Source organism: Homo sapiens, chromosome 3, assembly GCF_000001405.40.
Source record: "Homo sapiens chromosome 3, GRCh38.p14 Primary Assembly".
In the NCBI taxonomy this organism is placed as follows: Eukaryota; Metazoa; Chordata; class Mammalia; order Primates; family Hominidae; genus Homo; species Homo sapiens.
This window is the reverse complement of record NC_000003.12, coordinates 57,434,308-57,458,750: the sequence shown is the minus strand read 5'-3', so window position 1 is coordinate 57,458,750 and position 24,443 is coordinate 57,434,308. Positions and strand designations below refer to the sequence as shown.

At 39.6% G+C, this 24,443-nt stretch overlaps 1 protein-coding gene across 10 annotated transcripts in view, besides 1 other annotated feature; it reads left to right on the top strand.

Moving 5' to 3' along the window:
• The window catches only part of DNAH12 (dynein axonemal heavy chain 12), a 262,335-nt gene that overhangs the window by 97,284 nt on the left and 140,608 nt on the right, over nucleotides 1-24,443 (top strand). For 8 of the 10 annotated variants that reach the window (XM_047447667.1, XM_011533468.2, XM_047447668.1 and 5 more), the window contains 10 exons: nucleotides 531-652; nucleotides 748-1,030; nucleotides 3,857-3,976; nucleotides 5,348-5,504; nucleotides 5,736-5,908; nucleotides 12,062-12,214; nucleotides 12,481-12,720; nucleotides 13,332-13,577; nucleotides 13,935-14,054; nucleotides 21,691-21,800. In XM_047447667.1, the coding sequence (XP_047303623.1) occupies nucleotides 531-652; nucleotides 748-1,030; nucleotides 3,857-3,976; nucleotides 5,348-5,504; nucleotides 5,736-5,908; nucleotides 12,062-12,214; nucleotides 12,481-12,720; nucleotides 13,332-13,577; nucleotides 13,935-14,054; nucleotides 21,691-21,800 (1,724 nt within the window). Of the gene's footprint in view, nucleotides 1-530; nucleotides 653-747; nucleotides 1,031-3,856; nucleotides 3,977-5,347; nucleotides 5,505-5,735; nucleotides 5,909-12,061; nucleotides 12,215-12,480; nucleotides 12,721-13,331; nucleotides 13,578-13,934; nucleotides 14,055-21,690; nucleotides 21,801-24,443 lie in introns of those variants that run through there. The other 2 variants (XM_017005862.2, XM_011533474.2) reach the window with 2 other exon arrangements.
• Nucleotides 8,616-9,529: an enhancer, noted in NCBI's record as "H3K27ac-H3K4me1 hESC enhancer chr3:57434949-57435862 (GRCh37/hg19 assembly coordinates)". NCBI's record gives its function as "activates a minimal SCP1, AML or CMV promoter by ChIP-STARR-seq in naive and primed H9 embryonic stem cells {active_cell/tissue: H9 hESC(naive and primed)}" and the evidence as "EXISTENCE:reporter gene assay evidence [ECO:0000049][PMID:30033119]".

Here is a 24,443-nt window from a genome sequence, read left to right as displayed (position 1 = left end):
ATGAGTGTGTCTGTGCTACAATAAAATTTTATGGACACTGATATTTTCATATGTCACAAAATATTCTTCTTTTGATTTTTTTAACTTCTAAAAGTGTGAAAATAATTTTTAGCTTACAACTTATACAAAAACTGACAACAGACTGGATTTGGTCTGCAGGATGTAGTTTGCCAACTCCTTGCTGTAAATTGTTACATTTATGGTTGACAGTAGTAAAAGTAAGAATTAAATCGAGCACCAGCCAAACAGACTTTTCTCACATCATTCGAAATAATATAGGAGAAATGACAATATGCACGACAATCATAACTTGTCATTTTAACTAGTGTCCTTGGATAAGTATTTGTAACTTATTGAATTTTAATAGTTTTTACACTACAAAAAATTTCATTGCAAATTTTATAAACCTTTGACATTTTTTCATAAACCTTTTAACATTAAAAGATTTTAACATATAGTATAGATTGATATTTAAGTCATAATTATATCTGGCATAAAAGTGCTGACTTGAATGCATGTGTCTCGTTTAGGTTCTTGCTGCCACTTCTTTAACAGGTTTATTGGAAAAACTACAGAACTGCAATGAACTTTTGGAGAAAATTATGAAAGGTCTTAACGCATATCTTGAAAAGAAACGTCTTTTCTTCCCTCGGTATGATAAATAATCAATTGTGCTGTAATTAAAAACATTTTCTTATGTGTGATGAATTATAACTAAAACTTTTGTATTTGCATGTTTTTCCCTAGTTTTTTCTTCTTATCTAATGATGAAATGTTAGAGATTTTATCAGAGACCAAAGATCCACTTAGAGTTCAGCCACATTTAAAAAAATGCTTTGAGGGCATTGCTAAATTAGAGTTCCTTCCCAATTTGGACATTAAAGCCATGTATAGCTCTGAGGGCGAGCGAGTGGAGCTGATTGCACTCATTTCCACGTCTGCAGCGCGGGGTGCTGTGGAAAAGTGGCTCATTCAAGTGGAAGACCTAATGCTCCGGAGTGTTCACGATGTGATCGCTGCAGCCAGGCTGGTGTGTTTCCTAGGATTTGATATATACCCTATATTCTGCAAATGCTTTGTTTAAGAGGTTTTGGAAACCAGTAAATTAACACTTAAAGTTCTTACTATTTTAAATCATTTATTTTCTTTACTTCTTTGTTTCTAACATTATTAATATAACAATATTGCTATGAATTGATAATAGTATATGATTGTTATAAAAGAGAAAAGGTATTATGAGAGAGAAAAATAAGAGGTATATAATTTAGAATGGGGGAAGGTCCAGTGATAGGCTATTGGAGAAGGTGATGTTGAAACTGAGACACAAAGGACAGGTAGGAATAAGCCAGGTAAAGAGCAAGTGAGAGAGCATCTAGGTATCCTACGTAAAGCCCCTGGAATCAGAGAGAACTGGGGATTTGGGAGATCCTGAAAGAAGACAAATATGTCTGGAGTAGAGTAAGCAAAGTGGAGAGTAAAGTGACATGAGGTTGGAAAGGAAGGCAGTTAGGAGTTTGCATTTTATTTTAAATGCAATGGAACACCATCTAAATATTTTAATCAGGGAAGGGACATAGTCTGATTTATATTTTTATACCACTATGGCTATGGTATAAATAATAGATTAGTGGAGGTGTGAAAACAGGAAGACAAATTAGGAGACTCAGATTAGTTCAGATGAAAGATGATTTGGGCTGGTTTGCCAGAGATTCAGTTTCAAAAAATAAAAATAAAAACCAAAAATAAAGGAAAAAAGATGTGGTCTGTCACTAGGCAAATGGCAGAAGATAGGGAGAAAAGTAGAATATCAGAAATAAATTTTGTAGTTAATTTCAACAGGTCTTGATGATGAATTTGTTGTAGAGTACAAGGGTAAGGAGGGGGAGTTCTCAAAAATCACTTTTAGGCTTCTAATTTGAGCATATGGGTGGCATTTACTCTGGGTGATTCCTGGAGGAGAAGCAGATTTGTGGAGGCTTAGGGGAATATCAAGAGCTCAATTTTAGATATATTAAAATTGAAATGCTATGAGCTAGGCTAGTGGATATGTTTCATAGGCAAACAATCCTGCACATTAGCACATGTGGATCTGTAGGACAGTTCTCTTCAGACACGAGTGGTAAATGCATGACCTAGTTCACTTACTGCTTTTTACACTTAAACAACTACTTAAAAACTCAAATGAGATGAACAAACATTAAAGGGGGATATGTCATAAATTTGAAAGAAGGATAACACTTGGCACTACATGTATCTCACTTATGTTAATCCAATTAACCTAATCTTGAATGATAAACACGTATATTTCTGCCTTTAGGACCACAAATGAGCAGTTGTAAAGTAGTAGAATAGTTTTAAAAGGCATCGAAGCTTTATATTCAGCAACTCACTATATGTGAGTGAGTGTTCTTTTTCTTTGACCGAGAGCCCTATGGAGCTCATCTTCTTGTGGTGGCTATTCTGTTCAGCTTCAGTGTTCCTACAAATAAATCTTGACTTTTTCTCTCCTTTTACTATTTATGATTCAAAGCAAACTAAAACACATAGGAAAGAGCCACCATTGTCCATGAAAGTATTTCTTTAATCAGTATAGAAATTGACCTTCTATGTACCTAGCAATAGCTCTCAGTCACCATTCATCCTTCTTTGAAGCTTAGGTTAGCTTATCGTTTGCATTTGTTTCTAAATATGGCTAAGAAGCATTTTATAATAATACTGATATCCTATTTTAACTTTCTTATATCTAAGATGATGTTATTTTATTGAAAATATAATTTGCATTAGCATCAGCTTCAAAATTCATTCTGTAGTTGTTTTCAATTTATAGTTTGGATCTGCTAAAATCACTTACTGTTGAAAAAGCTATTTTTAAAAAGATTAAACCTCTCCCTCCATAAATCCATTTAAATGCATTTTGAATATCAAAGTGTTAGAAAAAATGAAAGTATACCTTGAATTCAAAACTATAGATGGTTCAATTATGCATAATTGAACAAATATATAATTGTAAAATTGTATACCCTGGTCATATAGGTTTTCAGAAAAGCTATGGATAAATAATACAAGGGCGCTATTAGTGCAGTTTTTAACTATATTGTATAATCTCCTTTTCAATTAAATCTTGGCATCAATATACATAATCTATTTGACTAGTTTTGTTGTTGTTGTTGTTGTTGTTTTTGAGACAGAGTCTCACTCTGTTGCCCAGGCTGGAGTGCAGTGGCATGATCTTGGCTCACTGCAACCTCTGCCTCCCAGGTTGAAGCAATTCTCCTGCCTCAGCCTCTTTAGTAACTGGGATTTCAGGTGCCCACCACCATGCCCAGCTATTTTTTTTTTTTTATTTTTAGTAGAGATGGGGGTTTCACCACATTGGCCAGGCTGGTCTCGAACTCCTGACCTCAGGTGATCCATTGCCTCGGCCTCCCAAAGTGCTGGGATTACAGGTGTCAGTCACCACCCTGGCCTTGACTAGTTTTTTCTAAGTTTACTAAAATTTTTATATTTTATTATGATAGAAGTAATAGGTATTCTATATAGAAAACTTGACAACTCTCCACAGCAAAGGAACATAAAAATCACACAGAAATCAACTTCCAGAAGAATCAACAGTTAAATCTACCCATTATTAACATGTTGGTGTTTATCTTTCCATTCTTTTATAAATAAATATTTCAAAAACATAATAATAATTTATAAAATTTGGAGGGAGTCTTTTAGTCATTTAACATTTTTTATGACTATATGACATTCTAGCCTATGTATGTGCCAAATATTACATTTCTCTATTGTTAGACATTTAGCTATTTTTTCTCATTCAAGCTTTTAAAGTTAGAAATTTATTTTAATTGTTCAGGCTTATCCAGAATCTGCAAGAAGAGACTGGGTTCGAGAGTGGCCTGGCCAAGTTGTACTTTGTATTTCTCAAATGTTCTGGACATCTGAGACACAGGAAGTGATAAGTGGCGGGACGGAGGTAAAGCATTGTTTGCTTTTAAGTAACATCCTTCATTCCAGGTTTTTTAAAATTTAATTTTATTATTTTTAGAAATGAGATCTTGCTATGCTACCCAGGCTAGTCTTGAACTCCTGGCCTCAAGAAATCCTCCCACTTCAACCTCCCAAAGTATTAGGATTAGAGGCATGAGCCACTGTGCCTGGCCCCATCCTATGTTTCTTAGTTAACTTATCTATTGTTTGCAAAGACAATACGTCTGTCAGTTTCTATATATAATCTTAAAATTACAACTATTCATTTTTTTTTTTTTTTGAGATGTAGTTACGCTCTTGTTGCCTAGGCTGGAGTGCAAAGGCATGATCTCGGCTCACTGCAACCTCCGCCTCCCAGGTTCAAGTGATTCTCCTGCCTCAGCCTTCCGAGTAGCTGGAATTACAGGCATGTGCCACCACACCCGGCTAATTTTGTATTTTTAGTTGAGATGGGGTTTATCCATGTTGGTCAGGCTGGTCTTGAACACCTGACCTCAGGAGATCCGCCCACCTTAGCCTCCCAAAGTGCTGGGATTAGAGGCATGAACCGCTGCACCTGGCCTGAGAACTTGTTCTTAATATTTTACTGGGCTTAGACAAAATCACTCACAAAATTCATTTCTCCATGTGTGTATGTGTGTGTGTGTGTTTAGAGACAGGGTCTTGCTCTGTCACCCAGGCTGGAGTGCAATGGCGTAGTCATAGCTCAGTATAACCTCAAACTCCTGGGCTCAAGCTATCCTGTTGCCTCAGCCTCTGAATTGCTAGGACCACAGGCACACACCACCACATCTGGCTAATTTAAAAATTTTTTTATAGAGACAGGGGTCTCTCTGCTTTGCCAGGCTGGTCTTGAAATCATGTCCTCAAATGATCTTCCCACCTTGCGCCTGGTGCCGTGGCTCACACCTGTAATCCTAGCACTTTGGGAGACCGAGGTGGGTGGATCACTTGAGGTCGGGGTTCGAGACCAGCCTGGCCAACATGGTAAAACCTCATCTCTACTAAAAACACAAAAAATTAGCCAGACCTACTGGCACATGCCTGTAGTCCCAGCTACTCAGGAGGCCAAGGCAGGAGAATCACTTGAACCCAGGAGGCGGAGGTTGTAGTGAGCCGAGATCCCACCACCGCAGCCTGGGCGACAGAGACTCAGTCTCAAAAAAAAAAAAGAAGATCCTCCCATCTTAACCTCCTAGATGCTGGGATTTTAGGCATGAGCCACCACGCTTGAACTCATTTCTATATTGAGATAGATTAAGAAGTCAGAATTGTTTTATAAAAGACTAAATATATAAAATACATGTTTTAAGTATGATGTGACATCAATTAGATTGCTTTTTTTTTTATTTTGTAGGGATTAAAGAAGTATTATAAGGAACTTCAGAACCAACTGAATGAGATTGTAGAGCTGGTAAGAGGAAAGTTGTCTAAGCAGACCAGGACCACTCTGGGGGCTTTGGTTACTATTGATGTCCATGCTAGAGATGTGGTCATGGACATGATTAAAATGGGTATGTGACTTTTTCTTTAATTTTTAAAGATAAAATGTTGATAGCATCTGGAAACAAAGACTTGTACTATATGTATTCTTCTCTCAACAGAATTTTTTTAACACAATCTTTTTTATAAGTTGGCAAACATGAATTATTTTTAGTATTTGCTGTTATAAAAGATAAAATACTTCTTTTTAAAATTATTTCCATTTAAGGATCATGTGTCTTATTTTACTTTATTTTTTCTAGGTGTCTCACATGATACAGATTTCCTGTGGCTTGCTCAGCTCCGATATTATTGGGAAAATGAGAATGCCCGAGTTCGTATCATTAATTGCAATGTAAAATATGCTTATGAATATCTTGGTAACTCACCTCGACTTGTCATTACGCCTCTAACTGACAGGTGTTACAGAACATTGGTATGCATTTAAATTATCTTAATTCACACATTAATAATTACTTTTTGCTGTAGCGTCATCTTTTCTCTCTTGTCTTACCTGGAGTAGTTGAATACAATTATCCCTTTCTAATCCTGAATTCTCTTTATGCAAAATTATAATAGTGAATATTTACTTCTGGGTGCTTTTGTAGCATACAAGAGTGTTTGAACTTTATCGTATGAAAGTTGTGAGTCACTCCGATGGGGGATAATTAGAAAGAGGAGAGTATTGACAATATAATGAGAAAACTGGAGCTTTGGAAAATGGTATCAGTTTTTGCAGTGGCGTCTTGGGAGAGATGACAGGAAGATGAGAAAAGTACATTTGGGCCTTAGGACACCAAATTAGTGCTGTTAAGTAGGATGGAGAGATGAAATGTATGGGGGTGGTGCTGAGACCTGAGATCCAGAGCTGAAGCTATGGAGGATAGAGCTGTTCAACTATAAAAACCCTGGGAATGTGGTTGCCGGATAAAATACAGGATTCCCAGGTAAATTTGAATTTCAGACAAACAACAAATAATTTTTTAATGTAAGTAAATATGTCCCAAATATTGCATGGGACATACTTACACTAATAAATTATTCATTGTTTATCTGAATGGTAGCAGTGGAAATTACCCAAGTCACATGGCACCAAAATATGTTACCAGTGGAGCATATCTGTATCGGTACCAGACTGCAGCGACCTCAATTCTTACCTCCTCAGAAGAAAGAATTCAACTGAGGGGCATAAGGCAGAAAGAGACTGAGGCAGGGTTTAGAGCAGGAGCGAAAGTTCATTAAGTGTTGGAGCAGGAACGAAAGGGGGTAAAGCACACTTCAAGGAGGCCCAAGTGAGTGACTTGAGAGATCAAGTACGCAGCTTGACCTTTTGACTTTTATACATTGACATACTTCCTGGGTCTTGCATTACTTCTCCCCACTCACCCAACTCCTGAGATCTTATGGGGAAACAGCTGATCACCAGTTTCAGGTGTTTTCTGTTTGTTAGGAGCACGCCCATCCCTGGTACCAGCTGTGACCAATTATTACTTTAGAGAGACAGTTAACAACACCTGACCATCACCTGATGGTCACCGGACACTCCTGGTGTGTGTGGGGTGAGGCGCGCTCTCCGGCTCTGCTCATACCTGACTAGCTACCCACTGTAACAGAATTTTTTGTTTGTTTTGTTTTGTTCTGAGACAGAATCTCGCTCTGCCGCCCAGGCTGGAATGCAGTGGCGCCATCATGGCTCACTGCAACCTCTGCCACCTGGGCTCAAGGAGATCCTCCTACCTCAGCCTCCTAAGTAGCTGGGACTACAGGCAGATGCCAACACACCCAGCTAATTTTTGTATTTTTTTAGTAGAGATGGGGTTTCAGCCACGTTGCTTGCCCAAGCTGGTCTTGAACTCCTGGGCTCAAGCCATCTGCCTGCCTCAGCCTTCCAAAGTGCTGGGATTGCAGACGTGAGCCACTGGGCCCGGCCGTTATCTGAAATAAAATTTAACTGGGCATTCTGTATTTTTATTTGCTAAATCTGGCAACCCTTCCTACGGGAATTGAGAAGGAGCATCAAGAAGTACCACTCTACCTGTGCTGAGTAAGTGAAATTAAAGTGTCTTCGAATGAGTTATCTTAAAGCAGAAATGAAGTGGCAATTCTTGTGCAAAGGATTTATTAGGTAATGTTCTTAGTAAAAACCTGTAGGGAAATAAGGACAGCAGGATGGGACAGTAAAAAGTTAAGCAAAGATGTGGTTTCAACAGATGTACAGTTGTAGCCTGCTCTCACAGGGCACTCTGAAGCATGAATGGCACGAATTATTCCACTTCAAAGCAGCAGGGTCTGACTTTTGTACCCGTTTAATGTCATTGACTAAGGGTCACCCCTGGGGCAGGGATATGAGTAAGCTTTCAGGCATTTTCTTGCTGATAAGGAGAAAAGAGCAGCTGTGAACTATTTGCAACTGACACAGCAAATGGGGGATGAATGCAATGGCTGGGTAAAGGGGCTCTGGGTAGGGCAACAATGGATCTGGGAGAAAAGATTTCACCAAACCCTTTATTTTCTCGGGTAGCTGCCTGTGGGCAAGAACTATGTCTGTCTTGTTCTCTACTCTAGTGCTGAACAAGGACACAGTTATCCCTAAATATTTGTTGAGCAGATGAATTTCAAAATAGGATGTCATATCTGTTACCTCTGTGAAGTCAGAAGCTGTGGTGTGCTTGTAAGGTGGGGGCTAACAACTTTGAGTTGTAAAAATCAGAATCATATTCAACACTTTTTGAGATGGAGTTTCGCTCTTGTTGCCCAGGCTAGAGTGCAATGGTGCGATCTCGGCTTACCACAACCTCCGCCTCCCTGCTTCAAGCGATTCTCCTGCCTCAGCCTCCCAAGTAGCTGGGATTACAGGCATGTGCCACCACGCCCAACTAATTTTGTGTTTTTGGTAGAGACAGGGTTTCTCCATGTTATGTAGGCTGGTCTCAAACTCCCTACCTCAGGTGATCTGCCCACCTCAGCCTCCCAAAGTGCTGGGATTACAGGCATGAGCCACCTCACTGGGCCACCTTTTTTTTTTTTTAAATTGAGACAGTCTCACTCTGTCACCCAGGCTGGAGTGCAGTGGTGCGATCTTGGCTCACTACAACCTCCGCCTCCCAGGTTCAAGTGATTCTCCTGCCTCAGCCTCCCAAATAGCTGGGATTACAGGCATGTGCCACTGTACCTGGCTGATTTTTGTATTTTTCGTAGAGACAGGGTTTCACCATGTTGGCCAGGCTGGTCTTGAACTCCTGACCTCAAGTGATCCACCTGCCTATGCCTCCCAAAGTGTTGGGATTACGGGTGTGAGCCACTGTGCCCACCCGGGATCATATTAAACGCTTGAATATAACACTAGACACTGAGAAAAAGTCTCCTAGTGAGAGATGACAGCGTGATGGCAGTCCTCAGAGCCCTCGCTTGCTCTCGGCGCCTCCTCTGCCTGGGTTCCCACTTTGGCGGCACTTGAGGAGCCCTTCGGCCCGCCGCTGCACTGTGGGAGCCCCTTTCTGGGCTGGCCAAGGCTGGAGCCCACTCCCTCAGCTTGCAGGGAGGTGTGGAGGGAGAGGCGCGAGCGGGAACCAAGGCTGCGTGCGGCGCTTGCGGGCCAGCTGGAGTTACAGGTGGGCGTGGGCTTGGCGGGCCCCGCACTCTGAGCAGCCGGCCAGCCCTGCCGGCCCCGGGCAATGAGGGACTTAGCACCTGGGCTAGTGGCTGTGGAGGGTGTACTGGGTCCCCCAGCAGTGCCAGCCCACCAGCGCTGCGCTCGATTTCTCACCGGGCCTTAGCTGCCTTCCCGCCGGGCATGGCTCGGGACCTGCAGCCCGCCATGCCTGAGCCTCCCACCCACTCCATGGGCTCCTGTGCGGCCGGAGCCTCCCTGAGGAGCACCACCCCCTGCTCCATGGCGCCCAGTCCCATCGACCACCCAAGGGCTGAGGAGTGCGAGCGCACAGCGTGGGACTGGCAGGCAGCTCCACCTGCAGCCCGGGTGTGGGATCCACTAGGTGAAGCCAGCCGGGCTTCTGAGTCTGGTGGGGACATGGAGAGTCTTTATGTCTAGCTCAGGGATTGTAAATACACCAATCAGCACCCTGTGTTTAGCTCAAGGTTTGTGAGTGCACCAATCAACACTCTGTATCTAGCTGCTCTGGTGGGGCCTTGGAGAACCTTTATGTCTAGCTCAGGGTTGTAAATACACCAATCGGCACTCTGTATCTAGCTCAAGGTTTGTAAACACACCAATCAGCACCCTGTGTTTAGCTCAAGGTTTGTGAGTGCACCAATCAACACTCTGTATCTAGCTGCTCTGGTGGGGCCTTGGAGAACCTTTATGTCTAGCTCAGGGTTGTAAATACACCAATCGGCACTCTGTATCTAGCTCAAGGTTTGTAAACACACCAATCAGCACCCTGTGTTTAGCTCAAGGTTTGTGAGTGCACCAATCAACACTCTGTATCTAGCTACTCTGGTGGGGCTTTGGAGAACCTTTGTGTCCATACTCTGTATCTAACTAATCTGATGGGGACGTGGAGAGCTTTGTATCTAGCTCAGGGATTGTAAATGCACCAATCAGCACCCTGTTAAAACAGGCCACTCGCTCTACCAATCAGCAGGATGTGGGTGGGGCCAGATAAGAGAATAAAAGCAGGCTGCCTGAGCCAGCATTGGCAACATGGTCGGGTTCTATTCCACGCTGTGGAAGCTTTGTTCTTTTGCTTTTTGCAATAAATCTTGCTACTGCTCACTCTGGGTCCACTGAGCTGTCACACTCACTGCGAAGACCTACAGCTTCACTCCTGAAGCCAGCGAGACCACGAGCCCCCCTGGGAGGAACGAACAACTCCAGACGTGCTGCATTAAGAGCTTTAACACTCAGGGCGAAGGTCTGCAGCTTCTCTCCTGAAGCCAGTGAGAGCACGAGCCCACCAGGAGGAATGAACAAGTCCAGACGTGCTGCCTTAAGAGCTGTAACACTCACTGTGAAGGTCTGCAGCTTCACTCCTGAGCCAGCGAGACCACGAACCCACCAGAAGGAAGAAACTCCCAACACATCCGACCATCAGAAGGAACAAACTCTGGATGCGCCACCTTAAGAGCTGTAAGACTCACCTCGAGGGTCCGCGGCTTCATTCTTGAAGTCAGTGAGACCAAGCACCCACCAATTCCAGACACACTAGTATATTTATTATTCACAATAAAGGGAACATGTTTGTGAACATTTTCTTAAAATTGAAAAGGAAGAGCCCGAGGTTTTCAGCAATCAAGTTAATGGGCATTAACAATATGGCATCCATTATAAATTTAAAATAGGTTGGCCAGGTGTGGTAGCTCATGCCTATAATCCCAGGACTTTGGGAGACTAAGGCAGGAGGATGGCTTGAGCTCAGGAGTTTGAGACCAGCTTGGGCAACACAGTGAGACCTCTTCTCTACTAAAAATACAAAAAATAAACTGAGTGTGGTGGCATACACCTATAGTCCTCGCTACTCGGGAGGCTGAGGTGGGAGGGTTGCTTGAGCCCAGGAGGCAGAGGGGCACCTAGTCAAGATCTCACCACTGTGCTCCAGCCTGGGTAATAGAGCAAGACCCGGTCTCAAAAAATAAAATAAAATGGATGAACTATCACTGATACTGCATTTTTTACACTAGCTGTCTCTCTTGGATTTTTAAAATAAAGTAAAAATAAAGTAAAAATATTTATCACTTTGTGGTTTACTTATTTTTAAAGGTAGACCTTTTTTTGAGCAGTTCTAGGTTCATAGCAAAATTAAGAGCAAACTGCAGAGTTCACTTATTCCCCCTACCCCCCTTACATGCACAGCCTTGGTCACTTAGCCGTACTTTTTCTAAAAGAAGTTAAATTTGAAACTCCCGTGAAACAGACTCCATAGTTAGAGCTGACTGTAATTTATGTTTCTAAAAATTTCCAGCCACTATTCCAGTCATTGTGGGGACCCAGGAATAATTCAAATACTGCTGATATTGTCATTAAGCACTTTAAAGACTAATTGATGAGAAAAAAGAATGTACGTAATTAAGTATAATACAAGGTAGAAAGTGATACTACCGGTAAGAGAAGCATAGAGCAGTTTTATGGGAATGTAGAAAATGGAGAACATACCAAGAGTAAAAGGCAATAGCCAGGCAAATCGTAGACAAAATTATATAATAGGTCATCTGTTTCTTTTCCCAATCATGGGTGCCATTTATAGCTCTCACTTTCTGGTGTTTTACCCCCTTTGCAGTGAGCCATCTAGAATGTGTCATTATTGTCCTCCACAACCATCTCCACAACCACTTCTAATTAAAACCTTCCTGAACTAATTTTACCCCCATAAGGCTAGATTGTTTTTAAAAACAAATGGGATACCTATGAAAGTGTCAGAAGACAAGTTTTGATACATTGTCACTTTTTTGAACGTTTTAAAATGCTTTCTCTTCATGCAGCTAGAAAAATTTGGGCTAAAAATTAAACAATGTAATTATATAATGGCTTCTCTGAAGCTACAGAACAGGCTAAATCCATTTGGTAAACAAGTGTCTGTTGTTTTTTTAAATTTAAGCATGGATTTCTTTTCACATGTGTTTTTCATTTCAGATAGGTGCTTTCTATTTAAACCTTGGAGGTGCTCCAGAGGGGCCAGCAGGCACAGGAAAAACCGAAACCACCAAGGACTTGGCTAAAGCTCTTGCTGTACAGTGTGTGGTGTTCAACTGTTCTGATGGGCTAGATTATCTAGCAATGGGAAAGGTAGTTAAATTGCTGAATCAATAATATTAAATGTTTCAAACTTACAGCTAGGTCTAATTGGATAAATGGAAGCAAACTCATGTTTAAACATGAATGTGGTTTGAATATTACTTGGACTTTCATTTTAGGAGTAAAGACATTGTTTTTATCCTTGGAACTTTTACTAAATTTAACTTTCAATTCTGACTTAAAATATTAGGTATTTGTTTTAAGAGATGATATCCTTTCCTGAGAAAAAAATCACTTTCCTTTTTCTTTGTCCTTAGTTTTTTAAAGGACTGGCTTCTTCTGGTGCTTGGGCTTGCTTTGATGAATTCAATCGAATTGAGTTGGAAGTGTTGTCAGTGGTAGCTCAACAGATCCTTTGCATTCAGAGAGCTATTCAACAGAAGTTGGTTGTGTTTGTTTTTGAAGGGACAGAACTTAAGCTCAATCCGAATTGTTTTGTAGCTATTACCATGAATCCTGGCTATGCAGGACGCTCTGAATTGCCGGACAATCTTAAGGTAATATTATTTATTTATTTATTTATTTATTTATTTTATGTTTTTGAAACAGTCTTACTCTATTGCCCAGGCTGGAGTGCAGTGGCGCGATCTTGGCTCACTGCAACCTCCACCTCCCGGGTTCAAGCGATTCTCTTGCCTCAGTCTCCCGAGTAGCTGGGACTAGAGGCACACACCACTACACCTGGCTAATTTTTTGTATTTTTAGTAAAGACGGGGTTTTACCATGTTAGCCAGGATGGTCTTGATCTCCTGACCTCATGATTCGCCCGCCTCAGCCTCCCAAAGTGCTGGGATTACAGGCATGAGCCACTGTACCCAGCCAATATTTTTTGAGTGTAAGTTCGTGAATTAAAAAAACCCAGCATAATCCATTCAAAATGATTTTTTTCCATAAAATTGTAATTTCCCTCCCAAAACTTTTTTAAACATCCAAAAAAATACTAACTGCATAAAAATATTAAAAGTACTACTAAAAAAAATTAGAGTTTAGAAAAAGGTGCTGCATTTGGAGAATAAACTTGACAACACCACACCTTTGAATACTTATGCTCAGCTTAAAAACAGCTTCATTTATGTACGTAATATATTTCATTTATTTTATACTTCAGGTTCTTTTTAGAACAGTGGCTATGATGGTTCCAAACTATGCGCTTATAGCAGAAATCTCCCTCTACTCTTACGGATTTTTGAATGCAAGACCTCTGTCTGTGAAAATAGTAATGACCTATAGGCTTTGCTCAGAGCAGCTCTCATCGCAATTTCATTACGACTATGGAATGCGAGCAGTAAAAGCCGTTTTAGTGGCTGCTGGCAATCTAAAACTAAAATACCCAAATGAAAATGAAGATATACTTGTAAGTATTAAATATACACATTGGGAAAGTTTCAGTAGAAAGATAATTTTCTTTAGTGAGGTTAATCAGGAACTACAAATAGGCACTTGAGAGGGTTGAGCTTTGTCTTTTCATAAGAGGTTGAAATGATGGTTTTTTGGGTTATGTTGTTATACTTCATATGAATACAAAGACTTTTTAGTTTGATAAGCATAGTATTGACTTTTTATTATAGGGATTCCAGAGAGCAATGTAAAATAAACTTTGACTTTTAGCCAGGGGGGTGGGGTGGGGCAGGCCGGGGCTGGGAGGGGAGGGAGAAGTGGGGTTGCAATTGCTGGCAACTAACTTAACATTGTACTTTTTGGGTAATTTTAGCTTCTTCGATCAATTAAAGATGTAAATGAACCAAAGTTTTTATCACATGATATACCTTTATTTAATGGAATAACTAGTGACTTATTTCCTGGTATTAAACTTCCTGAAGCTGACTATCACGTAAGTAAACCCATGAGAATGACTTATTCGGCATAATAAATTCATCCGATGACTCAATTGTTTACCAAGATTTATTAATGTGTGAAATTATTCTGTTTTGAGGAAAATCCCCTATTTTGTCCACTTTAGTTAATAACAATAAGTAAATTTGGGTACTTTCATATTATATGATACCAGGGTTAACCTGTCAAGATTCAGGTTAAACAGGCCAGGCACGGTGTTTCACACCTGTAATCCTGGACTCTGGGAGGCTGAGATGGGTGGATCACCTGAGGTCAGGAGTTTGAGACCAACCTGGCCAATATGGTGAAACCCTGTCTCCACTAAAAATACAAAAAATTAGCCAGGCATGGTGGTGTCCCACCACTGCACTCCAGCCTGGTCCACAGAGCAAGACTCTGTCTCAAAAAAAATAAAAATTAAAAAAAGTAATGTTCTTTGTAAGAGAATAAGTATTATTATTATTTTATTTTATTATAATAATTATTATTTTTTGAGACAGAGTTTTGCTCTTGTTGCCCAGGCTGGAGTGCAATGGTGCAATCGCAGCCCACTGCAAGCTCTGCCTCCCAGGTTCAACCTGTTCTCCTGCCTCAGCCTCCCAAGTAGCTGGGATTACAGGCAAGCGCCACCATGCCCAGCTAATTGTATTTTTAGTAGAGATGGGGTTTCTCCATGTTGGGCAGGCTGGTCTTGAACTCCCAGCCTCAGGTGATCTGCCAGACTTGGCCTCCCAAAGTGCTGGGATCACAGGTGTGAGCCACTGTGCCTGGCTGAGAAAAAATATTTTATTTTCTATCTTGTGATTTACAATATTAGTATACATACTGTAATAGTGTATTACACTATTGTGTAATATATAGTATTGCATACTAAATACTATTGTGTATTTTATTAGATAGAAATGAAAGTAGTAAAACATCCTATAGGTAACATAATAAGGCTTTGTTTCTCAAATTTACTTAATAGACTCATTTTTATTTTTTTTTAAAGGAAACAGTCCTTAACACAGATGCACACGGTAACTACGGGTAGTGATGGATATGTTAATTAGATTGTGGTAATCATTATATAATGTATATGTTTATCAAATCATCATGTTGCACCTTAAATATATAAAAATATTTGTCAATTAAAAATTTAAAATAACAAAAATAAGACACAAACCACTCGCATTTCCAACTTCATGTAGATTATACATATTATAATGAAGCTTAAATATGTATATACTTAACTGCTGCTTATAGCCGTTATAGAAAACCAGAATATAGTTTAAAATTAATTACAAGCCAGGCATGGTGGCTCACACCTATAATCCCAGCACTTTGGGAGGCCGAGGCAGGTGGATCACCTGGGATCAGGAGTTTGAGACCAGCCTGGCCAACATGGTGAAACCCTGTCTCTGCTAAAAATACAAAAATTAGCGGGGCATGGTGGTGCACGCCTGTAGTCCCAGCTTCTTGGAAGGCTGAGACAGGAGAATTGCTTGAACCCGGGAGGCGGAGGTTGCAGTGAGCCGAGATTGCGCCATTGCACTCCAGCCTGTGCGACAGAGCAAGACTCCATCTTAAAATAAAAATAATAAATAAAATAACATTACAAACAAAACAATCTCAAATTCAATTTAACGCAATTAATGAAATAGGTAATATGTGGCTGAAAGTAACTTGTTACTTTATGGGAATTTCTATTGTGAAATGTACAGTGAAGATTCTCTTGAGTTCAGCGTTCATAAACCACCTTTTGCCAAGTGATGATTCAATTCTTCCATGTCTTCTCTTTACGATATGACTGCAAAATCTTTTTGTTTGAGCTGTCAAATCATTAAGAGATCACTTAACTTAAAGGCATCTTTATTTTTTTGTCTGTTTTTTAAATTCTTATGCTCAAATACTAATATGCATTTTATGGCAGGTTAAGGTGACTATCAAGATGATTCAGAATATGCTAATATGATTTTTAAACACCAAAATGAAAACACAAAATTTTAATATTTTCTTGAAGAACTCTTATGTACTCTTATGAATACTGCAATAAATCCGTAGATTCCAGTTGGAAAAATAGTACTAAATTGCCATCTTGCTTTTTAATGGGTTCTGTATTTGTTTTACTGACTTCTTTTGGATTTCAAAAAATGTTTATCACTCCATTTTATCTTCTCTATTGGCTTTATAGCTTTACCTTAGTGGTCACTCCACAGGTTGCAGTATATATCCTTGGCTTATTACAACTTTACAGTTAGTATTTTACCAGTTGACAAAAAATATAAGCACCTTAAATGGTATAGTTTCATTATCCACTCACTCCTGCCCATTGTGCTATTGTTGTCATATATTTTACTTCTATATATTTTGTAAACACCACAATGCATTGTTATTATTTTCTGCTTTAAGTATTGTATTTGAAAAAAAAAAGCCTCTTACGCTACCCTTTCTAGTGCTTTTATTCTTTCCAGCAGATATATGTTTTCATTTTGGATTTTTTATTTTTAACCTAAAAAACTTCCTTTAGTATTTGTGTGTATATGGGTCTTCTGGCAACAAATTCCCTCACCTTTTGTCTGTCTGAAAATGTCTTTATTTAATCTTTATTTCTGAAGAATATTTTCACAGATACAGAATTCTAGATTGGCAAGGTGTCTCCTCCCCACCCCACCCTGCGCCCAGCATTTAAAGATGTTATTTCATAGACTGCTGCCTTTCAGTGTTGTGCTTAGAAGTCAGGCATTTTTCTTATTTATACTCCTCTGGCTGTTTTAATATTTTTTCTTTTTCTTTTTTGGTTTTGAGCAGTTTGACTATGTGCCTAGTTTTGTTTTGTACTTTATTGCCTGGGATTTGCTATGCTGCTTGAATCTGTGTGTTGATGTGTTTTGCCAGAAAATTTACTTTTTCTTTTCTTTTTTTAGAGACAGGGTCTCACTTTTGCCGAGGCTGGAGTGCAGTGGCATGATCATAGCTCACTGCATTGTCAACCTCCTGGGCTCAAGCAATCCTCCCATCTCAGCCTCCCAAGTAGCTGGGATTATGGGCGCGTGCCACCACACCCAACTAATTATTTTATTTTTCATAGAGACAAGGTTTTACTTTGTTGCTCAGGTTGGTATCAAGCTCTGGGCTCAAGCAGCCTCCTAAAGAGCTGTGATTACAGGCATGAACCACTGTACTCAGCCAGAAAATATTCAGTAATTATCTTTTTATATGTTTTTATGCCTTAATTTTTTCTCCTCTCTCCTTCCGGAACTTCAGTGACATGTATATTAGACCATTCTATATAGTTTCATGTGTCTCTCATGCCTCTTTTTTTCTCTTTTGTTTTTCATTACTTTCTCTCTGTAGTTTGGATACTTTCTAATTGACCTATCTTCAAGGTTAGTGGTTCTTTCTTTGGCTTTGTCCAGTTTGCTGATAAGCCCATTCAATGAATTCTTAATTTCACATATTTTGATCTTTTTAGTTCTAGTGTGTCCAATTGGTTCTTTTTAGAGAGTTCTCTTTTCTGCTAAAATTCTATATTTTTTCCTCTATTTTTTCTATCTTATAATCTATTCTTTTTATACTTTGTAAATGTATTGTCAAGTTCTTATCTGTTAATTATGACATCTGGGTCATCTATGAGTTTGTTTTGTTTACTGTTTTTTCTCTTGGTCATCAGCTATTTCTCATGACTTCATTATTTTTTTGGTTCTGTTATGAAGTGACTATTTAGAGTTAGGGTCTTGCTCTGTTACCCAGGCTGGAGTACAGCAGTGCAATCATGGCTCACTGCAGCCTCCAACTCCTGGGCTCAAGCAATCCTCCTACATCAGCCTTCTGAGTAGCTGGGACTACAGGAATGTACCACCACACCTGGCTAATTTTTTTGTATTTTTAGTAGAGAGGAGGTCTTGTTATGTTGCTCAGGCTGGTCTTGAACTCCCGGGCTCAACCCATCCACTCACCTTGGCCTCCCAAAGTGCTGGGATTACAGGCATGAGCCACCACTCCTGGCCTATTTACTTATTTTTAAAGGAATTTCAACTTTTAGATTCAAGGGGTACATGTGCAGGTTTGTTTCATGGGCATAATCATGATGCTGAAGTTTGAGGTATTATTGATACCATCACCCAGGTACTGAGCATAGTACCCAATAGTTAGTTTTTCAGCCCTTGTTCCCCTCCCTCTCTCTTCCCCTTAGTAGTCCCCAGTGTCTGTTGTTGCCATTATTATGTTCATGAGTACCCAGTGTTTGCCTACCACTTACAAGTGAGAACATGCAGTATTTGGTTTCCTGTTCCTGTGTGAATTTGCTTAGGAGAGTGGCCTCCAGCTATATCCATGTTGCTGCAAAGGACATGATTTTGTTCTTTTTTATGGCTGCATAGTATTCCATGGTATATATGTACATTTGCTTTATTCAATCTACTGTTGATGGGCACCTAGGTTGATTCCATGTCTTTGCTATTGTGAATAGTGCTGTGGTAAACATAATGCATGCATGTGTCTCTTTGGTAGAACAATTTATTTTCTTTTGGATATATACCCAGTAATGGGATTGCTGGGTCAAATGGTAGTTCTGTTTTAAGTTTTTTGAGAAATCTCTAAACTGCTTTCCACGGTGACTGAACTAATTTGCATTCCTACCAACAGCATATGAGTATTCCCTTTTCTCTGCAGGCTTGCCAGCATCTGTTGTTCTTAACTTTTTAGTAATAGCCATTCTGACTTGTATGAGATGGTATCTCATTGTATTTTTGATTTGCATTTCTCTGACGATTAGTGATGTTGAACATTTTTTCATATATTTGTTGGCTGCTTGCATGTCTTTTGAGAAGCATCTGTTCGTATCCTTTGCCCATTTTTAAATGTTTTTTTTTCCTGTTCAATTGTTTAAGTTCCTTATCAATTCTGGATATTAGACCTTTGCTGGATGCATAATTTGTGAATATTTTCTCCCATTCTGTAGGTTGTTGTTTTTTCTGTTGATAGTTTCTTTTGCCATGCAGAAGCTCTGTAGTTTAAATAGGTCCCACTTGTCAGTTTTTGTTTTTGTAGCGATTGCTTTTGAGGACTTAGTCATAAATTCCTTCCCAAGGCCAGTGTCCAGAATGGTGATTCCTAGGTTTTCTTCTAGGATTCTTACAGTTTGAGATCTTAACTTTTCAGTCCATATTGAGTTAATTTTTGTATATGGTGAAAGGTAGGGGTCCAATAATTCTTCTATATATGGCTAACAAGCCATCCTAGCACTATGGATTGAATAGGAAGTCTTTTCTCCATCGCTTTTGTCCACTTTGTTGAAGATCAGGTGGCTGTAGGTGTGCAGCTTTATTTTTGGGTTTCTAGTCATTCTATTGGTCTGTGTCACTATTTTTGTACCAGTACCATACAGTTTTGGTTACTGTAATCTTATAGTTTGAAGTTGGGTAATGTGATTCCTCTGGCTTTGTTCTTTTTGCTTAGGATTGCTTTGGCTATTCAGGCTCCTTTTTGGTTCCATCTGAATTTTAGAATAATTTTTTTCTAGTTCTGTGAAAAGTAATCTTGGTAGCTTGATAGGAGTAGCATTGAATCCGTAGATTGCATTGAGCAGCATGGCCATTTTAACAATATTCATTCTTCCAATCCATGAGCATGGGATGTTTTTCCATTTGTGTCATCTATGATTTCTTTCAGCAGTGTTTTGTAGTTCTCCTTGTAGAGATCTTTATCTCTTTGGTTAGATATATTCCTACTGTGTGTGTGTATGTGTGTGTGTATGTCTATTGTAAATGGAGTTGCTTTCCTTTTTTTTTTTTTTGTCTGAGACAGAGTTTCACTCTGTTGCCCAGACTGGAGTGCAGTGGCACAATCTCTGCTTACTGCAGCCTCCCAAGTAGCTGGGATTACAGGTGCGTGCCACTACTGCCCAGATAGTTTTGTATTTTTAGTAGAGATGGGGTTTCACCATGTTGGCCAGGCTGGTCTTGAACCTCTGACCTCAAATGATCCACCCACCTCGGCCTCCCAAAGTGCTGAGATTACAGACGTGGGCCACCGCGCCCGGCCGGATTGCATTCTTGATATAACTTTCAGCTTGAATGTTATTGGTGTGTGGAAATGCTACTGATTTTTGTACATTGATTTTGTTCCTGAAACTTTACCATAGTCATTTATCAGTTTCAGGAGCCTTTTGGCAGAGTCTTTAGGGTTTTCTAGGTGTAGCATCATATTGTCAGAGAAGACAGTTTGACTTCTTCTTTTTCTATTTGGATGCCTTTTATTTCTTTCTCTTGCCTGATTGTTCTGGCTAGGACGTCCAACCTTAAGTTTTGATTGTATGTTAAACAATGTGTATAAAATAATTATACAGGCTAAGATGTTTTGTTTTGTTTTGTTTTGTTTTTGTTTGTTTGTTTTTTGTTGTTGAGACGAAGTTTCGCTCTTGTTGCCCAGGCTGGAGTGCAGTGGTGCAATCTTGGCTCACTGCAAGCTCCACCTCCCGGGTTCAAGCGATTCTCCTGCCTCAGCCTCCCGAGTAACTGGGATTACAGGTGCCCGCCACCACGCCTGGCTGATTTTTTTGTATGTTTAGTAGAGATAGGATTTTGCCATGTTGGGCGGGCTGGTCTTGAACTCCTGATTTCAGGTGATCCACCCGCCTTGGCCTCCCAAAGTGCTGGGATTACAGGCATGAGCCACCGCACCTGGCCAGGTGGTATTATTTTCCTGCAGAAAAATCATGAGATTTTTCCCTATTTCAGGTAGCTAGGTTGCATTGCTAATCAATTCAGTTGAGTGTTGACCTAAGTCAGAGTTTTGTTGCAGCATTACTGAGCTGTAGTTTACTTCTGGCTTCAAATGTCTTCTGAGTAAGAATTGTCCTGCCATATGATTGGCCCTTCCCTGTAGTAGGATTTTGGGATCTAAGCATTCTGAGACTAAAGAAATCTCTCTGTGTGTCTTTCCAGCCAAGCCCTTGGTCTCTTGTGTCACTACATGCTGAGCAAAAGCATGGATGTTCGGGAGAACCAGCTTGGCATTTGGGCTTCTCCAAATTCAAATCTGTCACATAAGCCCACACAACCATTAAAATCTCTATTGGTTTCTTCCTACTTTGGCTAAGTCCTTCTGTCTATAGCAGGCCCAATCCGATATCCACCAAGTCCAGACTTAGAAAATGTCCCTAGGGTGAAAACAGCTGTTGCTTTGTGCTTACCTAGGAAAGGCTCATCATCCCTTTCTGAAACTGAGTTCTTTTATATATTTATTTGCATCCAAAGTACTTCTATGTGTTTAAATTTTTTATAATTTTAAAAAACTTATTTGTTTATTTCTGGTTACTACAAGTGTGCAGGATTGTCTGACAGGTCTTTCTATTTCCTAACCAAAAGTGAAATTCTGGGAAACACTATTAAAAGGAGTTATTTTCATGCAGCATACACCCAGTACTATCATGCTATGATCATTCATAACTTACAATAGGGAAGACTAATACATTAAAAGTATTTTGAGTCTATGTTTCTCCTCTTGATTTGAAAAAATAATAAAGTTTTAAGAAATAATAAACAATGATGATAGTTTTTTTTTAACTAGTAAATTTAAAATCTACACTTATAAGACAGGTATGACATTTATAATATTGTGTTGTAGAAATGCATTACTTTTTTTTATTTCAGGAATTTTTGGAATGTGCTCATGAAGCCTGCAATGTACATAATCTTCAGCCTGTTAAATTTTTTCTTGAAAAAATAATTCAAACATATGAAATGATGATTGTTAGACATGGGTAAGATTATATATTGCTATAGTTAGATGTTATTTCTTAATTAAGCTGGTAAAACAACTAAAATCCATGAACCAAAGACTTGGCAAACTGATTAGGTGAGTTGAGAGCAACCCCCGCCCGCCCCCTGGCCCCCCAGTGGCTTAAAAGGCAAAGGTTTATTTCTCATACTACATGTCCAACAAGGGTTGGTAAGAAGTGCTCATTCAGTGACCTAGTACTAATAAATACCACCATTTGCATAAAAACACACTCTTCCCTTCCCAGGGAGGCACCTAAAAGTTCTAATCAATAAATGAACCAGACTCAAAGTTCAGGATCCCTAGGTGACGATGCATGGTAGCCTTTGTATCATACCTGGAAGTTGTTCCTCTTGATCCAGAGACCTACAACCTAGAAAGACAAGTTATCTTTTCTCCACAAACCCAGTGCACAATAGTGGGCTTATCAGAACAGGGTTACCAGAGCAAACACTCCCATTCAGAAACTGAAGAATAGAAGACACAGCCAACACTGTAATGTGACAATTCTGAAATCCAGCTGGTCATGTGAGGGCCCCAGTTCTAGAGATGGATTGATTGTGAAACTAATAGAGTTTAAACTTCAGGACCTCTCACTTGAAGGGCCTCATCTAAGGAGCCATAAGCATTTTGTATATGTGATTTATTATACAGGGTGTCATTAAAGTGGCTATGGACATTTTGTATTTATAGTTATATAAGTAAAAGTTATATATATGTTATATAAGTAAGTTATGTGTGTGTGTATATATATTTATATTTACTTAGAGAGCCACCTTTCTTAAAACCTGAATCTACTTCTGCTTGGTTTTTGCTACCTGAGAGGGGCTTTCCAGTTTAATTCTTCTTCTTGGGCCTTAGTTTAACCTTCTGAGAGGTCTTTCCATTTCCATTTTCTTCTCTGGGCACATATGAAGTGGGCAATAGAGAAAATACTGTTCTTGGGAGAGTTGAGAAATGTTTTGAGCCTGCTTCTTGCCTATAGAAAGTTGGGATCTCAATGGTCACGATTTTTTCTAAAGGTAGGGTTACAAAAACATTATGTAAATTTTTAAACATACAAAAATAGAGGGAATAGTACAATCAACCCTTATGCATTCAATACCCAAGGATTATTTTAAATATTATTTATTATGTATTTTTGAGATGTAGTCTGTTGATATCGCCCAGGCTGGTCTCAAACTCCAGGGCTCAAGTGATCCTCCCTCCTGAGCTTCCTGAGTAGCTGGGACTACAGGTGCGCACCACCACACCTAGTTCCCAAGGATTATTTAAGTCTTGAACATTCACTTATGTTTTAGACTAGACTCACAGTTTTTTTGGTCAGTAAACTCCCTCAAAAACAATCAGCTTTTTATCTATTTGATTCTAGACAGCTCCATGTTCCTATATCCGTAACTACTGTCCTTAATAAGCCATACCTTTTAAAATTTCCTGGAAGTATCCTTGACCTTATCAGGCTTTGTGGAGGGAGCCACAATCTTAGTCTGTTTTTCATGAATCATTTTATTCTCCTGAAATGATTACTGGGAATTATATTCTTTTTTTTTTTTTTTTTTTGGGAGACAGAGTCTTGGTCTATCACCCAGGCTGGAATGCAGTGGCAAGATCTTGGCTCACTGCAACCTCCACCTCCTGGGTTCAAGTGATTCTCATGCCTCAGCCTCCTGAGTAGCTGGGACTACAGGGACATGCCATCACGCCCAGCTAATTTTGGTATTTTTAGTAAAGACAGGGTTTTGCCATGTTGGCCAAGCTGGTCTTGAACTCCTGACCTCAAGTGATCTGCCCACCTTGGCCTCCCAAAGTGCTGGGATTACAGGCATGAGCCACCCGGCCCATATTAATCCTTCATAGGTTTTAATAATGTGATACAATGACCCTACCCTTGATTTGATACTTGATGCCAAACTGAGTTTTAATAGATTTTTGTTTAAAGGTTTTCTTAATTTTATCTTTTACCAGTTGCGAATGAGAATAACTTGATACATTCAATTCCAGAAGTCCCTGAATTTCTGGACTCCCTCTTTCATTCCTGCTTGCAAACTGACCATGTTTTTTTCTGGGCTCATTTCTTTGTTATGGTTCTTTTTTAAGTGAAACCAGTACCTGTCATTATATACTAATAACATTCTGTTTACTATCCTTTTCACCTAAAATTCTCATTTCCTTAGGTAATTAGCTGTCTTCCAGGTAATCTCAAGGAATACATTTACCAAATGTTTCATCATTCATTGCATGACAATAATTGTCCATATTTTAGCTTCTGATACCAGTTAATTTGTCACTCACAATCTGGCCTTTAAGCCAATGCCACATTAGGTTTTTTTTATTATTATTATTATGGCAAGAATATCCCCCCCTCTTCTAGGTACCAACTTCTGTTATTAAGGATGGGCTAGGATATTCTGTAAGAACTGTCAACACCCAAATGTTAGTGATTTAAAAAACAAAGATTTATTTCTCATTTATATATAGTAGGTTACCAGGGCAGCCCTGCTCGTCATGACCACTCAGGGCCCAGGCTGTTAGAGTAAGCACCACCTCAACGTTGTGGGTCACGGCCATGCTAGAGGGAAAAGGGAGCTCTGTGAGGTCTCTAGCTGGCAATTACCTATCCCTGCTT